The sequence below is a fragment of the Homo sapiens genome, chromosome 9 (assembly GCF_000001405.40).
Source record: "Homo sapiens chromosome 9, GRCh38.p14 Primary Assembly".
In the NCBI taxonomy this organism is placed as follows: Eukaryota; Metazoa; Chordata; class Mammalia; order Primates; family Hominidae; genus Homo; species Homo sapiens.
The window spans coordinates 135,711,124-135,731,970 of NC_000009.12; the positions used below are offsets into that span (position 1 = coordinate 135,711,124).

A 20,847-nucleotide genomic window follows, 5' to 3' on the forward strand; every position below is an offset into this window, starting at 1 on the left:
GACTCCTTGCTTTTATCCTTTTTCTCGCAGCAGTGCACAGATGAGGCCTCCTTTATGATGGCAAGGGCAGCCTCACATTCCCAACTGGAACGGGAATGCCCAGAGCCTTTGGCGGGAGAAGCTTGTCTTTAAGCACTTTGTCAGACAGCCCTGGCTCCATGGCCACCGGGAACAGATGCAGGGGGAGTGAGAAGCAGGCACTCCTGGCTATCAGAAGAGCCCCCCAGCTGGCCAAAGGCAGCACAGCCCAAGGTGAACCTGGACCTGGCCCCCACCCCAGTGCCTCTGCCGGGACCTCAGTGACGCTCCTTGGGCTCTGGGAGCCACTTGTCCTTGCCAGGAACTAGGGATGGAGACTGGCTTCTGAGAACTGTTCTCAGGATTCCATGCCACCACCTGGCTTGCCAGGGTGCCTGGCGTGCAGCTGGCTCTCAGTCCATGGCAGCTGGCACTGAGCACAGCTGCCGGGCTCCCCTCTGATGGGGTTGTCAGGGTCAGTGCACGTGACTACGTGTGCACCAAACAGCTGACGGGGACTTCCTGTTGCCGTGCCCAGGTGTGGACTGCCTCGCTCATTCTTGGCCTCTCCAGATGGATTCCAAAAGTCAGTGTCCCAAGCCTGAGCTCTCTGATGGGCCTCAGCTGAGCGGAGGGGGCACGCTGGGCGCCGGCCACCCTGGGTCATAGCCTTTGTCCATAAGAGCTCAGCCAAACTGCTGGCCACGCTACACCTGCTGTAGCTGAAGCACTCACCTGCAGGCCCTGTTCCGCGTGCCTCAGGCATGCTGTCTGGTTACATCTTCACACTCTTCCTATAAGGGAACAGGCATCAGTATCTCCCTTCACGCATGAGCATACAGGCTCAGGGAGGTGAAGTGACTCGCCGGGGGCCGCCCAGCAGGACTGATGGGCCAGGACTGAACTCATGCCAGCGGGACTCTTGCCACTCTCTGGGCCTGCAGGGTGTGTGCTGACAGCCCAGAGAGTCCCCAAGAGGAGCAGCGGGGTGCTCTGAGCCCCTGGGCTGCCCCGGCCTTGTCTAGGGGGTGTGCTGTGTCCCGTCACCTCAGCCCTGGCTCCAAGGGGTGTGTGAGTCCCACAGGTTGAGCTCCACACCTTGTCCAGAGAGTAGTGTAAGGGCTGAGGAGAGGGACACCTTCCTTAAGCCACCAAACACAGAATTCTTATGGAAATTGGTAATTATTTGGCACAGCAGTCACTCAGAAAATAAAAAGATCATGGATGTGGCCTTGGGGGTCCTAGATTTCCTCCAGGGCCCCTTGGGTCACACAGGGAGGACAGCGCAAGAGAAGAGGGGGTGCAGAATTCGAGGTGGGCCCCAGGGTCCCCGTGTCTGGCTATGCCAGGGTTATGTTCCAGTTCCACCTGAACCAGCTTCAACAGGGACCAGACCCCCCAACACTCCCCTCTCCCCCTGTGCCCAAAAAAGCTGGCCGATGTAGGCCTTCCTGCTTGCGAAAAGTCTCAACCAGACCCCGAGGACACGGGGAGCAGCTGTTTTGCTGCTGTCCTCCTGCGATGGGCCCCTTTCCCAGAGACCCTGTAGCCCCGGCCCTCAGTCCCAGCCCTCAGCCAACACAACAGCCAAGGATTTTAGCCCCGGCCCTCAGCCAACACAACAGCGAAGTATTTTCAAGGTTTCTGGCTCTGTGGGGGGAACAAGGCAGGATGCCAGGAGGCCTGCAGGACACCTGCTTATGGCCGTGTGCTCGCTCAAGTGTCAAAGCAGCTTCCCAAGGGAAGAAGGGCATCTTGTCCTTGTCACCCTCCCCAGGCCACATCTGGGGAGCAGGGGTGGGGCCAGGTCTCTGGACTCCTGGTGCACTTCCTTCCCCTGGTGACTCCTGAAGCAAGCCAAGGTCCAAGCCCCTGAGCTTGTCCATGGGCCCTGCCAAGACTGGGCCTTGAGGCCAGGAGGAGGAACCAGAGCCGCTCAAAAGGCAGACGGGGTGGGGACGGGAGGAGGCAGCCACGCCTGAGGAGCCGGCAGTCTCTTGGGGTTTTGCCATTGAAAGGGGCTTTCAGTGAGGAAGGCACAAAATCAAGAAAATAGAGCCCCGACCCCTGGCCACGTGGTTCCCCTGCCTGCCTGCACCTCCCCATGGCCCAGCCAGCTTGTGACTAAGGAAAAACATGCAGCTACGCTGATGCAGTTAGGAAAATGTTATTTTTTAAATGCTGCCAGATCCTGGGGGTTGAACCTGTGACCTCAGAACAAGGAGCAGGGTTTGGGGCACGCACCTGCTGCCTGCAGCTTCAGCCTGGGGTGCCCATAGCTCCTTGCCTGCTGCTTGTCTGAGGGTTAGGGGACACAGGAGAGGCACTTGGTGGGGGCTCAAGGAATGTGCCCACCCCTCCCGACTTGAGGAGAGAGAGGAGAGTTTTGTAGCATCCCTGGACCTGGTGTTCCAAATGAGTGGCCTCTGTGCAGGGCCTACGGGCACAGCACGGGGAGCTGGGTATGGTCAGAGCCTCCTGCCCCTGCCCGTGGGGGAGCCAGCCCCCTCCATCCCCCCTCTGCTCTCCTGCTGGCCTCGAAGCCTTGAACAAGGGCCGGCCTGGGCCAGGTAAGGAGCTCCCTGCCCCTCAGCTCCTGCTTCTCCTGGAGCAGCCAAAACTCACTTCAGTGGGGGACATGGGGACAGGAAAGATGCAAGACCCCTGGAAGACACCTGCTTGGGCCCCCAAGAACTGCAGACCACCAGGGGTCCTCCCACTCTACCTGGTGTGCCACGATGCCCCTAACCTGCGCTGCCAGCTCTCTGTGTCCCTTTGATCCCTCACCTGGTGACAGTGGCAGGGCAGCTCAGGGCCCAGAGGGCCTGGCAGCCCCCCGGGGTTCTGACCTGAGCTGAGCTGCTCCGCCTGGGGAGGCTGCAAACAAGGGTGTCTTCTTAGGCCTCCTGGTCACTCCACCCTCACCCCTCAACAGCCTGAGGGTCTGAGACGGGGGTCTCTGGGGCTGGACCCTGAAGGAAGATTGAGCAGCCGGCCTCGGCAAAGACCCTGGGGACGGGGAGGGGAGCTGGGGAGTTGGGAGGGGTTGCAGGGGTGTGGCGGGGCTTCAGAGCAGGGGGAGGGCCTCCATCCTGGCTCTTGGGGGATCAGGGAGGAGTGGTGCGCGCCTGTCCCTGAGCTGGCCATGACAGCTCCCGTCCCCCTTACCTCCTGCCAGGCCCCGGGGCCGCTTTGGAGGGAGCCCCGCCCCCTGCCCCTGCGCAGCCCCCGCCCTAGCCCCAGCCCGGCGCAGCCGGTCCCGCGCGCCCCCGCCCGCATGTGCCGCCAGGCCCGCCCCCGCCCGGCCGCCCGCCCGCCCGGTGGGTCGCGGTGGCCGCGGGCTGCGCTGCGCGGGCCGGGCCTGGCGGGCCGGGGGCTGCGCGCGTCCGCGAGGGCGCCCGACGCGGGCTGAGGGGCGCTGGCGTGTGCCCGCAGGCGGCCCTGCGCGGGGGACGGCGCGCTCCTGGACACCGCCGGCTTCAAGATGAGCGACCTGGACTCCGAGGTGCTGCCCTTGCCGCCGCGCTACCGCTTCCGGGACCTGCTGCTGGGCGACCCGTCCTTCCAGAACGACGACAGGTAGGGACCGGGCGCGGGGTGGGGGCTGGGGTCGCCGTCCCGGCGCCGCCGCACGCCCGGAGCTGTCCGCGGTGCTGACGGCCGGTCCCGCGCGCCCCCGCAGCCGCCGGCGCCCTTCAACTTTTCCCGGCTTCTGGGGACGCAGAAGTTTCGGAGGGGGTGCGGGCAGGGGGAAGCATCTTCTCGGGAGGGGGTCTCCGGAGGAGGGCGCGGGATGCTCGGAGCTGCGGAGTCTTCCAGAGCCCGACTTGGGGCGCGGAGGCGGAGGGCGGCCTGGCCTTCCGGTGTCTGCTCCCAACCCCCAGCACCCCAGTTTTTCTGGTTTTGGGGGCAAGCCAGGGCCGGAAGCGCCCCGGTGGCGGAGCCCGCAGCCTGGCTGAGGGCTGGCGTCCTCCAGGCTCAGGCAGCGGTCCTTGATTAATTATTCAATGAGGGAGCTTGTCCTTCAGGTTCGTGACCTGGTCACTTATTCCGAGTCACCGTGTCCCCGTCCCCTCAACATCTCCTGGGCTAAAAAGGCAAAATGAATTGTGTCTTTCAGTTAAGGACCAACAGGATGAGCCCATGGGAATAATTCATCCGCTGAGGGGGCTGGCAGGAAGCTGGAAGAAATGTTGCTTTTCTCTCCTCCTTTTCCCCAAATAGCTGTCTTGGGTAAACACCCAGCACTTTAGCTCTGCCAGGCTCTGGGGAGGCGCTTTTTTGCCTGCAAGTGAAGGCAAGTGCTCTGAGGACTCACGCGGAGCTGGAGCCCGCGGGGGCTTCAGGTCAGGAACCGCTCCTCTTCCAGCGTGTAGGGTACGGCAGGGTCGGGGTTGTCACTGTCTCCAGGGCTCCGTCACCACCCAGCCCTGGGCTCAGCTAGCAAATCCGCACTTTCCCCCAACAACGCAGTTATTCCGGTTAGCACACAAAGTACACGAGGTTGAAAATGGTCAGGACACAAACAGCTTTCAGAATAATCTACTGCTGAAACCGCAGCTGAAAAAGAAATCATGTTTGTAACTAGAGTCAGTCCTAGGGACTGTATCCATGAGGACCATGAAGATTTGTAAAAAGGGGGTCTTAAAACCCCTCTGCCTGCGGGGAATGGAATATTCTACCAGACCTCCCATAACATTTGGTTGTGTGAACCAAGAGTCAGGAGTGGGGACTGAGCCCAGTCTTCATCCACTCAGAATCAGGGAGTGAGCGTCCTGCAGAGAGGCCTTTTAAACTTGGTTTTTCATCTTGTTGAACTCAGTGCTCTAATAATGAGCCCACCTAAGTGCAAATGCCCAGGTGAAGAGTTTAGTTTATCTCCCTGTGTGGGCAGAGGGCAGTCAGCCAGGCTGGTCCCAGGGCGGCGTGCGTGGCTGGGAGGCTCTCCTGGGAGCCACACAAAGCTTCCCTAGGCCGAATCCGTGGACTCAACATCTTTCTAAGCCAGCACCAGCCCCTCAGATGCCTGTTCAGCTGGGACTTGGTTAATTCTTGAAAACGGCAGCCCTGGGAGATCCTTCCGATATTGGGCAGGAAGTGGTGTCCATCCGCCTAATGGTGCCTGGGGCTCCCAGATGACTCGATAACGCCTGTGGCTGTGGTTGATCAAATTGTAATGCTGTATTCCTGAGTGTTCAGGAGTGGACAGCAGAGGCTTTTGCTGTCCGCCTAGAGAGAACCATGCCCATCCCTGGGAGAGGAGAAGCTGGCATGGGATTTCACAATGAGTCCCTGATCCTGGGTGTGGTTTTTTAAAATTGTGGTAAAATACATAAAACAGAATTTACCGTTAGTGACATTTAGTACACAACACTGTGCCACCCTCACCACTGTAATTCGAGAACATTTGTATACCCTAGAAGGAATCTCCTTAACCACTGGGACTCACTCCCCAATGCCCCCTTATCCCCCAGCCCCTGGCAGCTACCGATTTGCATTCTAGCGGTCTTGGCGTGCTGTGCCCACTGGGCACATGGGTTGTGTGCCGATGGTATTAGGAGGTGGACCGCTGGACGTGTGTGGCTGTGTGTGCTAGCTAGTGCGTGGCTGTGGGTCCTCTCCAGGAAAGGCCCATGGGGTACAGGGCATCTGTGCCACCCCCACAAGTGCCCTGCTCTCTCTGGTTGGAAATGAAGTATACAGTGAGGTTCTATTGGAGGGAGAGTGGCCAGGGATTAGAGCTTCGGGGCTGTGTGGTCGCCATACCTGTCCTGTGGCGCTGTCCCTCAAGATGGCCTCAGAGATGCTGTGCTGCATACCTTTTCTCATGTGTGAAGGATGGGAGTGGACCTGGCCCTGTGGTGGTGGTGTGCATAGGACGGGAGGGGACCTGGCCCCTGTGGTGTTGGTGTCTATAGGACAGGAGGGGACCTGGCCCCTGTGGTATTGGTGTCTATAGGACGGGAGGGAGGGGACCTGGCCCTGTGGTGTTGGTGTGTATAGGACAGGAGGGAGGGGACCTGGCCCTGTGGTGTTGGTGTGTATAGGATGGGAGGGAGGGGACCTGGCCCCAGTGGTGTTGGTGTCTATAGGATGAGAGGGAAGGGGACCTGGCTCTTGTGGTGTTGGTGTCTATAGGATGAGAGGGAAGGGGACCTGGCTCCTGTGGTGTTGGTGTCTATAGGATGGGACAGGGAGGGGACTTAGCTTCCCTCTGAGAGTGGTTCCCCACTTCTCACCTCTGAGAGGAAGCTTGGGCCTGGTGGAGATGGTGGCCTTGGGCACCCCGAGATCTGGAAGGTGGGGGGCTGCTGGTCGGCTGGTGTCCAGCCCGGTTCCCAGCAGCTTTGCCTGGCTCCCCCTGGAGGCTGCGGGGGCTGGTGAGGCTGGCTGGGCACAGTACAGGAGTGGGCAACTTTCCGGGGGCGCAGGGGCAAGTGAGTTGGGGGCTTCTGCCCAAGTCACCTGCCAGCTCGCCAGCCGCTGCCCGGCACAGCTGAACCCGCTCCTCACGTGGACTCAGGCCCTCCTGAGAAATTGCCTCGACTGGATGTAAGAGAGGGTGCCCTAGAGGCCTAGGAGCCCGGGGAACCCCCACTTACCCCACCCAGGAATGGCAGCTCCTTGGTCTCAGCAGCAGCCTGGGGGCCTCTCCTCTTGAAGGCAGCTCAGGGAGCCTGGCCTGAAGGGTTTCTCTTCCTCAAACCTTCTTTGCCCAAAGGGGCTTGCTTCAGCCTCCATGGTAGGGTTGGGTGAGTCTGGCATGGCCTCTCTCATGACCCCGATGCTGGAATGGGTGGGCAACAATGAGGGAAATCAGGATGCTGACAGGGGTCCTGAGGTCACCCAAGCCCTCCCCTATCCATAAGGACACGCACGTGGGGACCCCAGCCCTGGCTCTGTGGAAACCCCAAGCTGACCTGGAGGAGGGGATCAGCCGCTTGGAGGACCCTCCTGGGTGCTTGGGGTGGGGTCTGATGCCTCTATCTGCCATTAGAAGCCATCCCATATCTCCTCATCTTCCTCCTCATCCCCAGTGCCTGTGCCTTCCCCTTCCTGGAGTGGAGACCAGGGGTCGTCTGCCTGGCCTGGTGGGACCCCCTTCCTGTGTACTGCAGTGACTCACAGGAGCCGTGTGAGGTGGGAGGACGTGCTTATCTGAATGCAGGAGGGAGTGCAGGCGGGGTCTGGAGGCCATAGGGGGCCCAGGTCTGAAAGGGCTGAGCCCAGCAAGACCTGCCTGCCGGCTCTGGGTGAGAAAGCCCTTAGGTAGAGGGGAGGGGACACTGGGATGGGGTCCTGGGCTGTGGACGGAAGGGCTGGTGTGCCCGGACACGGCAGCACAGGCTCCACTCGGGCCCCTGAGGGACCATCGTGGTGGCCTTGGCCATGGGGGTGTCTCAGGTCTGGGTAAGGTGGAAGTGCCGCTTGGTCTCTCTCTGCACCAGGGGAAGAGATTGAGGGGCAGGGAGACCCAACCATCAGCACAGGGCAGGTGCAATGTGGGGGCTCAGCACAGACTGGCACCCCTCACGCCCTCCCTATTTCTACCCTGGGGCAGGCTCTGTGAGGGAAGCGGGTGCTGCTGCCAACCCCTGGCAGGCTGTGAGCGAGCAGGTGGGCGGGCAGGACTCGGGCTTCCTGTTTCCCCCGGGAGTAGAGCCTCTGGCAGTGAGTCACCACAGCCTCCATCGCCCGTGGCCTTGGACAGAGAAGAGCTCGGCGGGCCATGTGGGCAGAGGAGGCTGTACTGCTGGGCAGGCCGCTCCCAGCGGGGATGACCCAGCCCATCGGTACCGCCCGGTGGAGGAAGTGGACAGAGTTGGGAGCTCACTCACCTCAGGGACCTGATGGTGGACCCTCACCACTGCTTACCAGATGGTGTCTCGGGTGCTCCCATGGAGCAGCATTCAGCCACAGTCCACCTGCGCCCAGGCTCTGGAGCCCCTTGAGCCATGCTGACAGTCTCACTGCCCCTCTGCCTGGGAGTCCAGGGGCAACTGATGGAGGCCCTGGCCCTCCCAGCCAGAGCCAGCTCTCAAGAGTGTCCCGGAAGCCTAAGTGAGCGTCATGGCCCTTGGAGGACACAGACTTGGGCTCTTCTTCTGCAGAGGGGTTAACAGCCCCCAAAGGGCAGCTCGAGGAGCCAGCGGGACAGGGGCTGCCTGAGGGCTTGGGTCCTGACGGTGTCCCCGAGCTGGGTCCCAGGCACCTTGTGCAGACTCTGGTCTGTGGCAGTGGAGGTGCGGCTTCCATCCTGCCCTGCACTGAGGCTCAGGAAGATGCTGTGTATGTCGGGGGATGCATGCTTTGGGGACACTTGGGGCTGTCACACCACAGGCCCATCTCTCCAAAGGGGCAGATTCCAGACAAGGAGTCCCAGTGGGGAGGGGTGGGGCAGGCAGCCACCCCCCGCCATGCTGCACCAGGACCCAGCCCACCGGGGCCACTGAAGCCACCACTGGAGGCAACGTCAGGGTCGCCAACACTCCCAGGCATTAAGCAGGACATGAGAGGTGCCAGGAAGGCCCTGCCCACTGGCTGGGGCTTCCGGCAGGCAAGAGGAAGCTTCGTCCCTGAGCATGGCCAGGGCCACTGCCTTGGCTCCTTGGGCCACCCCAAGCTGAGTGCCCCAAGCTGGTGCCATGGGGCCCAGGCACCAGGGTCACCTGGGAAGGGAGTGGCCGCCTTGCCACAGAAAGCCCGGCCCCAGTGCAGGCCTCCCGGGGTCAGAACACTGCCCCAGAGCGGCCTGACCAGGCTGTTTCATTAGCTCCTCTGACAACAGAGAACGGAACTTGACTTGGTTCTCTGGAGTTGAGCAACACCAAATATTTTTTCACACAACAAGCTGAGAAGTGGACCACAAACAGGGCCCGGCATTGCTGGGAACACGGGGCAGCGGGCCTGCGTGGAGGATGGACCCCTGCCGGCCCCACAGGCAGCAACTGTGGATGGGCCAGGCAGGGCCAGCAGGAGCAGGAATGGGTGCAGAAGGAGGGGGCAGCCCAGACCCCTCCCTGGCCCTGCTGGATGCACCCCTTCCATTCACCCGACCCTACCCCACAGTGAATCCAGCTGCCCCGCAGGGACAGGGTAGCTGGGAACAGAGAGAGGCTTCTCTCACAGGGTGAAGGCCCCACCAGGCCTCCAAGCAGAAGGGGTTGCGGTGGGGATGTCTCTAGGAACAGCCCTGCCCTCCGAGCCCTCATCTGTCATCCTTAATAGCTGAACAATTTCTCAGCTGGTCGGGGAAGTGCCTTGAGACCTGGGTGACTCGGTGTGCTGAGGGCCTTCTAGAATCATCCCTCCTGCGAAGAGCCTGGGATTGCATAAGTGCCCTCCTCCTGCCCAGCCCTCCCAGCTCCATCATCTCTTCCTATCCCCTCCCCACCCCCATCATCCTGCCCCCACACACCAGCCTGGCCCCTGCTGAAGAAGCAGGGGGCCCAGGCAGCCTTCCTCCAGAGGGAGCTTTGCTCCGCCTCTCTTGGGGCTGGGGGCGGGGGTCCTGCCTGTACCCCCAACCCCACCTGCTCTCTGAAGGCCACTCTGGGACCCTGAGCTGAGAAGGCCCGGGAGCCAGCCCCAGCTCCCTGAAGGGCACTGAGCCCAGAGTTTCTGCGTGAAGGCGTGAGTGGCCTGGGCAGGACCTAGGGCACAGGTCAGCTCTCCTTCGGGGGTGCTCTGGGGAAGCTAGGGCTGGGCTGCGCCTGCACCACCCTGCTCCTGCCTTAGGGCCCCAGGTCCCCATGTGACAGACTCAGGTGTAGCTGGAGCTTTGAAACAGAGGGGGACAGTCAGGAGGAAGGGTGTGGCCAGGCCTGACCCAAAGGTGAGGGTGGGGCACGAGGGACACACGGCCGAGCCCAAGGGGCAGTGGTGGTTTAGGGGCCGTGAAGGTTCGAGGAGGAGTCGGGGAACCATGCAGGGTGAGGGCTGGGGTGGGAGAGGCCTGGAGCTGAGTTTGGGAAGGGTGGCCCCTGGACTGGGGGACCCCCAGAAGGGGCTGAAGTGGCCCCCAACGCTCTCGGCCTGAGCTGCTGGGCCAGCCCCAGCCTCGAAGCCACTCCGCTCCAGCACCGGGTCCCCTGGCGTGCCTCCTGCCCAGAGCTGCTGAGCTCAGGGAAACGCCAGCCTGCTCAGTCCCTGGGGGTGGTGGGGTAGGGGGTGGTTATATTTAACATTCTGCCCGGGGCCATCCTGCTGTGTGCAGGCGTACTAATAGGGCAGGGAGGGGCCAGGTGGGATCCCAGTCCTGCCCCTGGCCCTTCTCGCCCTGGGGCCCTTTCCAGAGCAAACACCCACAGGCTTGGGAGGACACGGCCAGCCTGAGAAATGGCCTTGGCCAGGCCGGTGGGGCCCAGGCAGGCTGGGGTCTCCTGGCCGGGGGAGGGTGCCGGCCATGCGCATACCAGGAGCCAATCCCAGAGCCTCGGGGCCGCCTGTCTGTCTTTCCTGGACCCCCTTGGTGTGCCACCTGCATGATTGAGTCAAGGTCTGGTTTATTGGAGCAGGAAAGGCCCGGGATGGTGTCCAAAAGTTCTGGCAGGTTCCATGTGCTTTACGGTGTCCTGAGTGAGTGAAATGCATGTCATGATTTCTCCAGTCCCTTTCCAGCTCAGGGTCGGTTTGCCTGTGTTGCCCCCACTCGACTGTGGACAGGGCTGGAGGCCAGGCCTGCTCGCCCTTGTCTCCTGGGCCCCCTACCAGGAAGCAGGGTCCTGGAAGGTGGGCCTGAGTCAGGGTGGGGGAAGGTGACGCCTCTGCTGTGGAGACTGTGGCTCCCGGGTGGGCTGCACCTTCCTCCTAGCCCTGTCCCTCCCTCCGACGGTGGGTTCCAGGGGCTTGCGTTGCCTCCAGCCCTGGGTGACCAAGGAGTGGGCAGGATCAACAGGAGGGCCACAGAGGCTGTCGGTGACCAGGGCCCATCACATGTGAACGGTGTCTTGTGGGGCATCACCTGGCTGTGGGGGCATGGAGGAGGGTCCGTGATACCCCTGGGCCCAGGGCTGGCTCAGTCCTCAGCCTGTGCGTCTTTATGACTCAAGCGGGGGGCCTCTGGCTCCCCCAAACACACCCCCAGGATATCCAGGGAGACCCTGAGAGGGCGAATCCCGCGTCCCCTGGGGCTGCATCCCCCGTCCCACCCCTGGGGCCGGCACAGCGGGGCACACGGCTTCATCACCAAGCCCATGTCCCAGGGACTCATGTGTGTGACACAAAATGAAATTCCTCCCGCATTAGTGTAAAACAGAACACAGATGCCCAGTGGGAGGGGCTGGCATCCTCCGCGTCAGGAAGCCACCAACCGTTTGGGCTTCAGGTTGTAATTCCCAATGCGCTCCCTCCACTGTTCCGTTTCCATCATCCGGCGCGTCCAGCTGAAATGGAATGGGTGTAAGTGTGTTTATGCCTCGTCTCAGTCTTCCCAGCTGCTATGGAAAAGCACCACAGACCCGGCAGCCTCAGCAACAGAGATTTATTTCTCAGTTCTGGAGGCTGGAAGCCCAGGATCAAGGCGCCGGCGGACCAGGCTCCTGGTGAGAGCATCTCTCAGGCTTGCACGTGGCGTCTTCTCACTGCGCCCACGGGGCAGAGAATGCAGGCTCTCTGCTCTCTTCCTGTGGGGCACTGCTCCCATCCCGAGGCCCCACTCTCATGAACTCGTCCAAGCCTACTCACCTCCTGAAGGCCCTGTCTCTAAATACCATCCCATCAGCGGTGGGGGCTTCAACAAGGGAATCTGGGGGTGCAATTCAGCCTGGAGCAGGCTTGGAGGGAAAGAAGGGGACGCTGCAAAAGATGTCGTGGGAAATCCTCCGGGGGATTAAGTTGCCCCTTCATTTCAAATTCCTTAAACTTCAAGGGCATCTGCCAGGTCCCTCGGGAGAGCCTCCTGCATGCAGCTTTCCTCTCCTCTCCAGCGCTCATCACAACAGCGGCCACTGTGTGAGTGAAGGCTGAGGCCACACTGCCTGTGCCTCCCCAGCAGTCAGTGACGGGCGTGGCTCTCCGAGGCAGTGAACTTGCAGAGTGCAGGAAGCTGGGGGCTGCAGAGCTCGCCTGCAGGGCAGCACCCCAGAGGCCTGGCAGGGTGGGTGAGCTGTCCCGTGACCCGTCACCCCTCCACCAGGTCCCAAAAGCAAAAGCGTTGGTGGGGTGTCAGGAGTTCCAGCTGTACCTAGAAATTGTCCTGCATCCTGTTCCAGGAGATATCGTCCATCTTGGGGTCAACATGGAATGCCACCTGCATGAACAGGGCCGGCGCCGGCATCCACTGCCATTGCCCGAGGCTTGGCTCCACAGGGTGGCAGGCAGGGAGGAGAGGCTGCTGCTCCCTGGCAGGAAGTTCTTGTGCACCACGTGAGCGTGTGGCTCCCGAAGGGGCATTTTGTGCCTGTGCGACCGACAGCTGTGCCCACGCGTCTGCTGCATGGCCATGTCTACACGGGGCCTGCTGCCTCCAGAGGGACCCTGGGGCTTGGGGGGCCTCAGAGCCCTGTCAGTAGGAAGGGGGCCCTGGCTCTCCTGGTGGGTGTCCGGAGCATCTAGAGCTGTCCCGGGAAGTGCCGTGTCCCAGGGACCTTGTTACTGATGATTCTGCCAGTCTGGCAAGTCCATCAAAGGCATCACCGCCTTCAGTGCCAGGCCACCCCTCGGGGCTTGCAGGCCTGGTGTCCGGCTGCCCCCAGCCCAGCACAGGTACCTCATGTCCTTGAACACCCCCTCCTCCATCCAGTCTGAGCGCCATGGCTCAGCGCAGCCCCGTCCCAGACCAGTGTCCGTTCCCCTGAGGGTGCTGTGGGCTGGGGAGGCCCAGGTATCCCTGCCACCTTCACTCTGAGCCCGTCTCTTCCTCTCCAGGTTTTCATAAGAGGCCCCGGGAAGCTCCATGCCCTCCTCCCAGCACTCCTGCTTTCCCCTCTGAATTTTTATCCATCATGGGCCCCTGAATAAGAGCTGACTGTGGGATCCAGGCTCAGAGGCTCGAGAGGCACAGGGGGAGGGCACCAAGGGCCTTGCAGTCCAGGCCAGCCTCAGGGTCAGGCCTCCAGGGGCCTCAACTTTGTGTCCTCCCCATGGGGTGCTTTTCATCCCCGGAGGCCAGGCTGGGGGTGGCTCAGGGGGCACCATCTGCACAGGTGGGGGCAGCCGTGGGCGGGTAGAGACAGCGGGCCCCGCGTGCACTCCCATCCTGAGCCCCCTGAGCCTCAAACAAGAGTGAAGGCAGTGCCCAGGGAAGCACAGGCCAACGGGGGCAGGCACAGCCTTGTGGTGGCCAGAGAACCAGGTCCTCACCTGCAGGATCCAGGCAGGCCAGTGGTCGGCGAGGGGCGTGGCCAGTCTGCCTGTTCCTTCCTCCACGTATGCAGGCATTCATTCATTCAGTCATGCAACAGAGGTCAAGTTGAGTGTCTGCTGTAGGCACCAGATTCAGCAAATACAAATACAGGATGCCTGGTTAAATATGACTGTCAGATAAACAGTGAATCATTTCCCAGTGGAAGTGTATCCTATCCAATATCGGGGACGTGCTTATACTTAAGACAATTATTTTCCATCTGACATTGAAACCTCACCAGGTGTGTCATGTATTTCATTGGGATCCCTAGCTCCGGCTGGGTCGGCTGGGCTGCCCCGAGAGGCCCAACATGAAGGCCCCGGCCACCCACCTGGATTGGAGCTTCCTCCGCCCAGGCAGAGCCTGGGCTCCTGCAGGCACAGATGGGCCCCCCACCACTGGCTTCGAGGATGACCCTGAACCTTCCCTCTAGCAGACAACAGATCTGACAGGGTCTTCCCCCCATGAGAGGGGGTGCCCCTGGGCTCCCCCATGTGATCCTGAGGGTAATCTTGGTGGAAGCAGCGCTGGGGCCTGTCCCTGCCCCACCCAGGAGGCAACTGCGTGGGGGGGCGTGTGGTGGACACATGACAAACCCAGCCCAGGATCCCTTGGTGGCTCAATGGCCCAACCGCCTCCCTGCACAGACAGGAAAACGGAGTCCTCAGAAGGGCGGGGCCTGTCGAGGGCCACACAGCTGCCGGGGGGGACCTCAGAAGGAGGGGTCTGTGGAGAGTACTCCAGGTCCCCTATAGTGTTTGAACAGGGCCTTCGAAAGATTCCTGTCCTCCCAGAACCCCAGAATGTGGCTTATGTAGAAACACGGTCTTTGCAGATGTGATTAGTTGAGGATCTCAAGGTGAGGCCATTCTGGACCGAGGGGCTCAGATCCAGTGACTTATACGAAGAGAAGGAACAAACCCAGAGACACAGAGAAGAAGCCACGCCGGGACAGACGCAGAGATCAGAGTGACGCTACCACGAGCCCAGGGCCACCAGGAGCTGGAGACGGCGGAGGACCCGCTACGCTTGCGGGGGAGGGTGGACCTGCCAACACCAGGATTTTGCATTCTGGTCTCCAGAACAGAGAGAAGAGACCGCTGTAGTTTTGGGCACTCAGTTTGTGGTATTGAGCCCCAGGACACCCATGCACAAATGAGAGGGTGCAGGGGTCACTCTGGGACAGCACCAAAGCCGGGGGGGCCCCAGGGGCCACTAAGGAGGTTCCCACGTGGAGCTGTGGCTGCCCTTGCTGGGTTTGGGACCCTCAGCCGGGTCCAGGCGGACAGAGTCTGTTTCCAGCACAGCCCCGTCCTTTTGCTGGGCGGTTTGCCTGGGCGTGTCCTAAGTTGATTGAATATATGCTGGAAAGCAGAAATGCCGGAAAAGAGGCCCCCTCCCACCCGCCCTGGGAGCCCAGGTCTGGCAGGAGGAACCACCTGGGCGATAGGGGTCTGGGGAGGAAGAGGGGTTGGTGGGCAGCAGCCTCCCCGGCCACCACCCAGGAGCCATGGCTGTGGGGGCTCGGAGTGGCCACCCCACCCAGGAGGAGGGGCCTGTCAGGGCAAGAGACCCCCACATCCTCCCCTGACCTTGATCCACAGAAGGGCCGGCAAAGGACTGGGGAGAGGCCTGCAGTCGTGGGGGCAGGGGGATGAGGGGAGGGGACAGGAGGAGCCAGGGCGCTGTCTGGGCTGGGGGCTGGGCTGGGGCAGGGGCAGCTGAGGGCCTGCGGTGGATGCTCCCAGCCCCTCTCCACAGCACTACGTGGCACAGGGCCAGCAGCCCCCGGGGGAGACTCCCGGCCTGCAGGGCCCTCTGGGGCCTCCCTGGGTCTCGGATCCCTTCCAGGGACCTGGATGAGGCCGTACCCCCAGGGACAGAAGTGCCCCTGGGAGCAAAGCCAGCCCAGTCTTGGGTGGCCTGAGCTCAGAGCTCCCCCTGGCTTCTGTGGCTCGCCATGTGGCCAGGGCCGCATCTTTACCCCCACCCCGTTCCAAGCCTCAGTGGGTCCCTTGGTAGGTAGAACCTGTTGGGAGGGTAAAGCGAGGCACCCCAGGTAAGCCAAGTTCTGCTACGGACGGGGCCCCTTGGAGACCCAGATCAGACTCTGCCAAGGCCTCGCCCTACTCCCGCCCCCAACCTGATGATTAGCTAATTAATTCTGTCTCTCCCTCCCTCTATCTCTCCTTCCCTCTCTCTCTCTCTACCTCTCTCCCTCCCTCTCTCTCTCTCACTCTCTACCTTTCCCTCCCTCTCTCCCTCCCTCTCTCCCTCTCTCTCTCTTCCTCTCTCTCCGTCTTTCCTATTCTCTCTCTCTCTCCCTCTCTTTCCCATTCTCTCACTCTCTCCCTGTCTCTCTCCCTCCCTCTCCCTCTCTCTTTCCCATTCTCTCTCTCCCTCTCTCCCTCTTTCCCATTCTCTCTCTCTCCCTCTCTCTCTCTCCCTCCCTCTCCCTCTCTTTCCCATTCTCCCTCTCCCTCTCTTTCCCATTCTCTCTCTCCCTCTCTCCCTCTCTCTTTCCCATTCTCCCTCTCCCTCTCTTTCCCATTCTCTCTCTCTCTCCCTCTCTCCCTCTGTTTCCCATTCTCTCTCTCCCTCTCTCTCCCTCTTTCCCCTTCTCTCCCCTCTCCCTCCCTCCCTCTCTCCCTCCCTCTTCCTCTCTCCCCCCCTCCCTCCCCCCTTTCTCCCTCTCTCTCTCTTTCCCATTCTCTCTCTCCCTCTCCCTCTCTCTCTCTCTTTCCCATTCTCTCTCCCCCTCTCTCTCTCCCTCTTTCTCCCTCTCTTTCCCATTCTCTCTCTCTCCCTGTCCCTCTCTTTCCCATTCTCTCTCTCCCCCTCTCTCCCTCCCTCTTTCTCCCTCTTTCCCATTCTCTCTCTCTCTCCCTCTCCCTCTCTCTCCCTCTCTCTCCCACTCTCTCCCTCTCTTTTCCCTTCTCTCCCCCCTCTCCCTCTCTCTCTCTCTCTCTTTCTCTCTCTCCCTCTCTCTCTGTCAGTTTCCCCACTCTCTGCAGGGTCCCCTCCACAGTGATTAGTCAAGGCCCAGCCCGAGGGGCCTGGGAACGGGGAGGGGGAGCCCAGCCGTGTGTCACCTTTGGGAGAGGAGGACCTCTTCCATGCCTGGTGGTACTGTTGTGCCTTTGAAGGGAGGTGTGGCACCAGGCCGGGTGGTGTCCGCCATGCCAAAGGCCACTCTGCATCCCGGCCCCCAGCCCCTGGGTACTGCTCCTCCAGCCCCCACTCGCTGGCCTGGATTCTCCGGACAGAGGTGGGGCCCACAGGGGAGCAAAGGACCATCCAGAGAGCGTGGGTCTGTGCCAGGGCCCTTCTCAGAGCAGCCGAAGGATGACCATCCTGACTGACCGTCCCAATCTGCAGCCTGGGACTGGGACCTGCTGTGCAGGGCTCTAAAAAGGCGAGTGAGGGAAAGATGTTGCAGTGGGGAGGCCATCCTGGCCCAAAACGCAGTCACAAAGTCCTTAAAAGAGGGCGGCAAAGAGGGTTAAAATGGCAATATTTGTGTTATGCACATTTACTACAAAAACAAGCTTGCCTTAAGAAAACTCAAAAAAGAAAAAGATTAACAGGCAGAAGGAGATGGCCGTGTGAAGGCGGGGGCAGAGACTGGAGTGATGTGGCCACCGCCGAGGGGTGCCTGGAGTCCCCAGAAGTTGGAAGAGGCAGGAAGGACCCTCCCTAGGGCCTCCAAGGAAGCGTAGCCTTGTGACACTGGACTTCAGCCCAGGGACACTGATGTCCAACTCTGGCCTCCAGAACTGTTGCTTCAAGCCCCCCGCTGTGGTACTTTGTTATGGCAGCCCCAGGACACCCCGACACCAGGAAATCGCATAATTGTTTGGAGGGAGAACATCGGGGCAGATTCACCTGGTTTCTATGTGGGGCAGAAAAGAGCCAGCGGCCAAGCCACCCGCAGGCCCCTCCTTGGGAAGTGAGACCCCCACAGCCTCACTGCGGATGTAACAGCCACCCACGGCCTGCCTGGGAAAAGCCCAGATTTCAGGAGGCCCTGATTAGGTCTCCCAAGACTCACGCCCTGTTCCGGGGGAACAGGAAGTGGGAGGCATCTCCCCAGAACTCAGGGAGGCCAAGGCCATGCCCACGGAGGGGCAGAGAGCCGGGGGCCGGAGAGTGAGGGCCGCAGCCACGGGCTGGGAAGGGGAGAGGGCCGGGCAGGGGTCCTGGGAGAGGGGCAGCCCAAGCCCAGCTTGGAGAGACATCTCCCCAGCGGCCCCGGCATGTGCTCAGCAGCTGGTGAGCTCAATCCAGGAGTGTTTTGCCGGGTCTGGTTATGGTGATTCACAAACCCCTTTTTAATCTGGAACAGCTCCCACCAGGCGGGTCCCCCAGGATTTCCCACCCTACCCCCGGGATTGTGAATCTGAGACATCACACCACGATTGTCACGTGACATGGTGTTCGGGATTGAACTGTGTCCCCCAAGATTTATATATCAAAGCCCCAACCCATGGTACCTTAGACTATGACTGTATTTGGAAATTGGTTCTTTAGAGGTAATTAAGGTGAAATGAGGTCATTCAGTTGGGCCCTAATTCAATAGGACTAAGGCCCCTCTTTATACAAAGGAGGAATGGGGAGACAGGTATACACGGGAGATATAATTAAGTTCGCTGAGCAGTTGAATTTGAATTAATCAAAGGGCGATTATCCGAGTGGGCTGCGTCTACTCACACGTGCCCTCTGAAAGCAGCGTTTCCTCTGGCTGGCAGTGGAAGAGGTGAAGTGACTGGAGGCAGCAGGGAACTGAACACATCTGTACTTGCTTTAGAGATGAGGGCATATGCCAAGGAAGGAGGTGGCCCTGGGGAGCTGAGAGCAACCCCCTGCCAGCGGCCAGCAAGAAAGGGGGTCCTCTGTCCCACTGTGCAGGAGGGGATTCCGCAGATGGCGGGAATGAGCCTGGGAGCAGATTCCTGCTGGGCTCCAGATGCGGGCCCAGCCCTGCGGATGCCTCCGTCTCAGCCTCATGGGACCCTCTGCAGAAAACCAAGCTCAGCTGTGCGCAGACTTCTACCCTACAGAACTGAGAAGTGATAAGTGGGTGCTGCTGTGAGCTTCCAGGCTGGTGGTGGTTCGTTACGCAACAGAGGTAGCACGTACACCAGGCCTCTCGTCCTGCAGAAGTTTCCACCGTCTGCACGTGTCCGGTGGCCTCTCTGTGGGTGGTTCAGCTTGTTCTTCTGCCTCCAGTATTTTTTGCAAAGTGGAAGTTGGGTCTGCAGGCCTGCTGGACAGAGCTTACTTGATCGAGGCTTGAAAATGTTGCACGTGCCCTTGGTGTCTGCGTGTGGCCTCAGGTCCTGGTTGCCCGTGTCAAAGATGGCCTGATGGACCTGCTGGGGCCAGCCCAACCCCACCACTGGGCAGGTACTTCCCCCTGGTCACCTCAAGGTGGCCTGTGGCTTTACGAGCACCCAGTGTTCCCTCTGTGGCTCTTGGCCCCCTCTGAAGGCCCTTCCCAAGCCTGTCCTTCCACTGGGACCTGGGAGGTGCAGGCTGCCTTTTTCTCTTCCTCCCTCCATCAGCGTTACCCACATTCTCCTCTGCACTGTGCTGATCCTTCATCCATGGGAGCTGTGCACCCCCAAATATAATTCCTGCTGGAAACACCCTCGACCCTTTCTCTTTAATGACAGATTTTCACAGTAAGGCAGTGTTGAATTGCAGCCTCTAGTGGCGACAACAAGGAAAGGGGTTCCCTGGACTCCCCCTTCGGAGCATCAGGTGTGGACCCATGGAGTTCCGTGGACCTGCCGTGTGTGGTGGGCCAAATAATGCTCCCCTGAAGATGTCCATGTCCTGATCCCAGAAACCCATGACTATGTAACCATGCGTGGCGAGGGGGACCACACGTGGTGAGGGGGATTAGCAGATATGATTAAGTGGAGGGCCTTGAAGATGGGAAATTATCGTGGATGATCTGGGTGAGCCAAGATCATCACAGATTCCTAGGGGAGGGAGGCAGAGGTTCAGAGTCGCTGGAGAAGGAGATGAGCAGGGGAAGCAAGGACTGGAGCGATGGGAGGAGGGGCCCAGCCGGGGAGGGTGGTGGTCACCGGAAGCTGGAAGAGGCAAGGAAATGGACCCCTCCCTGGGACTCCAGAAGGAGCCAGCCCTGCCGGCACTTCAGGCTTGGGATTTCGGACCTCCGGGATGGTGTGCTTAAAACACTTGTGTTGGCCGGGTACGGTGGCTCACACCTGAAATCTCAGCACTTTGGGAGGCCAAGGCAGGCAGATCTCTCGAGCTCAGGAGTTCCAGACCAGCCTGGGCAACATGGCAAAACCCTGTCTCTACAAAAAATACAAAACTTAGCCGAGCATGGTGGTGCATGCCTGTAGTCCCAGCTACTTGGGAAGCTGAGGCAGGAGGATCACTTGAGCCCAGGAGGTCCAGGCTGCAGTGAGCGATGTTCATGCCACTGCACTCCAGCCTGGGCAACAAAGTGAGATCCCGTCTCAAGGTAAAAAAAAAAAAAAAAAAAAAAAGTGTGGTTTAGCAATTGAATTTGTGGTCATTTGTAACCACAGCAGCAGGAAGCCCACACGCCATGTTTGAATCATTGTCCCCTCTGAGATCCCACCGCCTCCACTTTGGCCAATGGGAGCCCTTCCCACTGGCTTCCGTACCCTTGGACATGACCCCATTCCTCTTTGCAACTTCCTTGTTCTCTAGCAAAACTAGATTTTCCACACTCTCGAACCTTCCCTGCCCTGAGTCAGTCATTCTCTGGGGATGGGTCTTTCAGCGCGGCTCGCGTTAGAATCTCAGTCGCCTGGCGTGTCTTCATTTTGGATCACAGTGTCCTGCATACCCACAATGTTACTAATTTTATCATTGTTTTTACTCCACCAAGGTTTAAATGCTTACCTGTTCTATAACCATATTTTGTGTAATTCTCTAACGCTCTGTAGCCACCTCAGTGGGCTTCCCGCTGCCCACCCACCCTTTCATACGGCTTCTTCACGCTGGAATTCTTTCTTTGGCATTTCTTTTAGCAGCTTCATTTCATCTTTGAGGTGGCTGTGGTTGTTTTTCTCCCAACAAGGGCGTGTGCATTTGTGCCGCGTTCTCTCACGTTCCTTTGCGTTGGAGGACATCGCCCCTGTGTCTCTAGACTCGAGTGACATTTTGGCTGGGTATAATAGTCCTAGACCTCATTTTTTCCCATTAGAACTTGATCAGCATGGGACCGTCATCCTCTGGTGCTTAGTTCACTGCAGAAAATCTGCAGCCAGCTCACTTCACCCCCTTCGTAGTGACTCACTGGTTCTGTCTTGTGCACCTGCAGAATCTTCTTTACCCTCAGCTGAGGAGGTGGAGTAGGAGCCATATCTGGATGGAATGCATCCTGTGTCTTGTTTTCCTGGGACTCCGTGCACAGTTCTTTCTTTGCTTCATCATCACATATCTAAATACTTTTCAAATATGCGTGTATATATATA

At 60.1% G+C, this 20,847-nt stretch overlaps 1 protein-coding gene across 4 annotated transcripts in view, besides 3 other annotated features; it reads left to right on the forward strand.

The window, feature by feature from the left end:
• The window catches only part of KCNT1 (potassium sodium-activated channel subfamily T member 1), a 93,318-nt gene that overhangs the window by 8,939 nt on the left and 63,532 nt on the right, over nucleotides 1-20,847 (forward strand). For 3 of the 4 annotated variants that reach the window (NM_020822.3, XM_011518878.4, XM_011518879.4), the window contains exon 2: nucleotides 3,454-3,597. The exons of the other annotated variant lie outside the window; for it this stretch is intronic. In NM_020822.3, the coding sequence (NP_065873.2) occupies nucleotides 3,454-3,597 (144 nt within the window). The remainder of the gene's footprint in view (nucleotides 1-3,453; nucleotides 3,598-20,847) is intronic. 4 annotated transcript variants of the gene reach the window in all.
• Nucleotides 7,500-7,794: an enhancer, noted in NCBI's record as "tiled region #14740; HepG2 Activating non-DNase unmatched - State 20:ReprD, and K562 Activating non-DNase unmatched - State 20:ReprD". NCBI's record gives its function as "activates a minimal TATA promoter and a strong SV40 promoter by Sharpr-MPRA in HepG2 and K562 cells {active_cell/tissue: HepG2 | K562}" and the evidence as "EXISTENCE:reporter gene assay evidence [ECO:0000049][PMID:27701403]".
• Nucleotides 12,725-13,302: an enhancer, noted in NCBI's record as "H3K4me1 hESC enhancer chr9:138615694-138616271 (GRCh37/hg19 assembly coordinates)". NCBI's record gives its function as "activates a minimal SCP1, AML or CMV promoter by ChIP-STARR-seq in naive H9 embryonic stem cells {active_cell/tissue: H9 hESC(naive)}" and the evidence as "EXISTENCE:reporter gene assay evidence [ECO:0000049][PMID:30033119]".
• Nucleotides 16,938-17,875: an enhancer, noted in NCBI's record as "H3K4me1 hESC enhancer chr9:138619907-138620844 (GRCh37/hg19 assembly coordinates)". NCBI's record gives its function as "activates a minimal SCP1, AML or CMV promoter by ChIP-STARR-seq in naive H9 embryonic stem cells {active_cell/tissue: H9 hESC(naive)}" and the evidence as "EXISTENCE:reporter gene assay evidence [ECO:0000049][PMID:30033119]".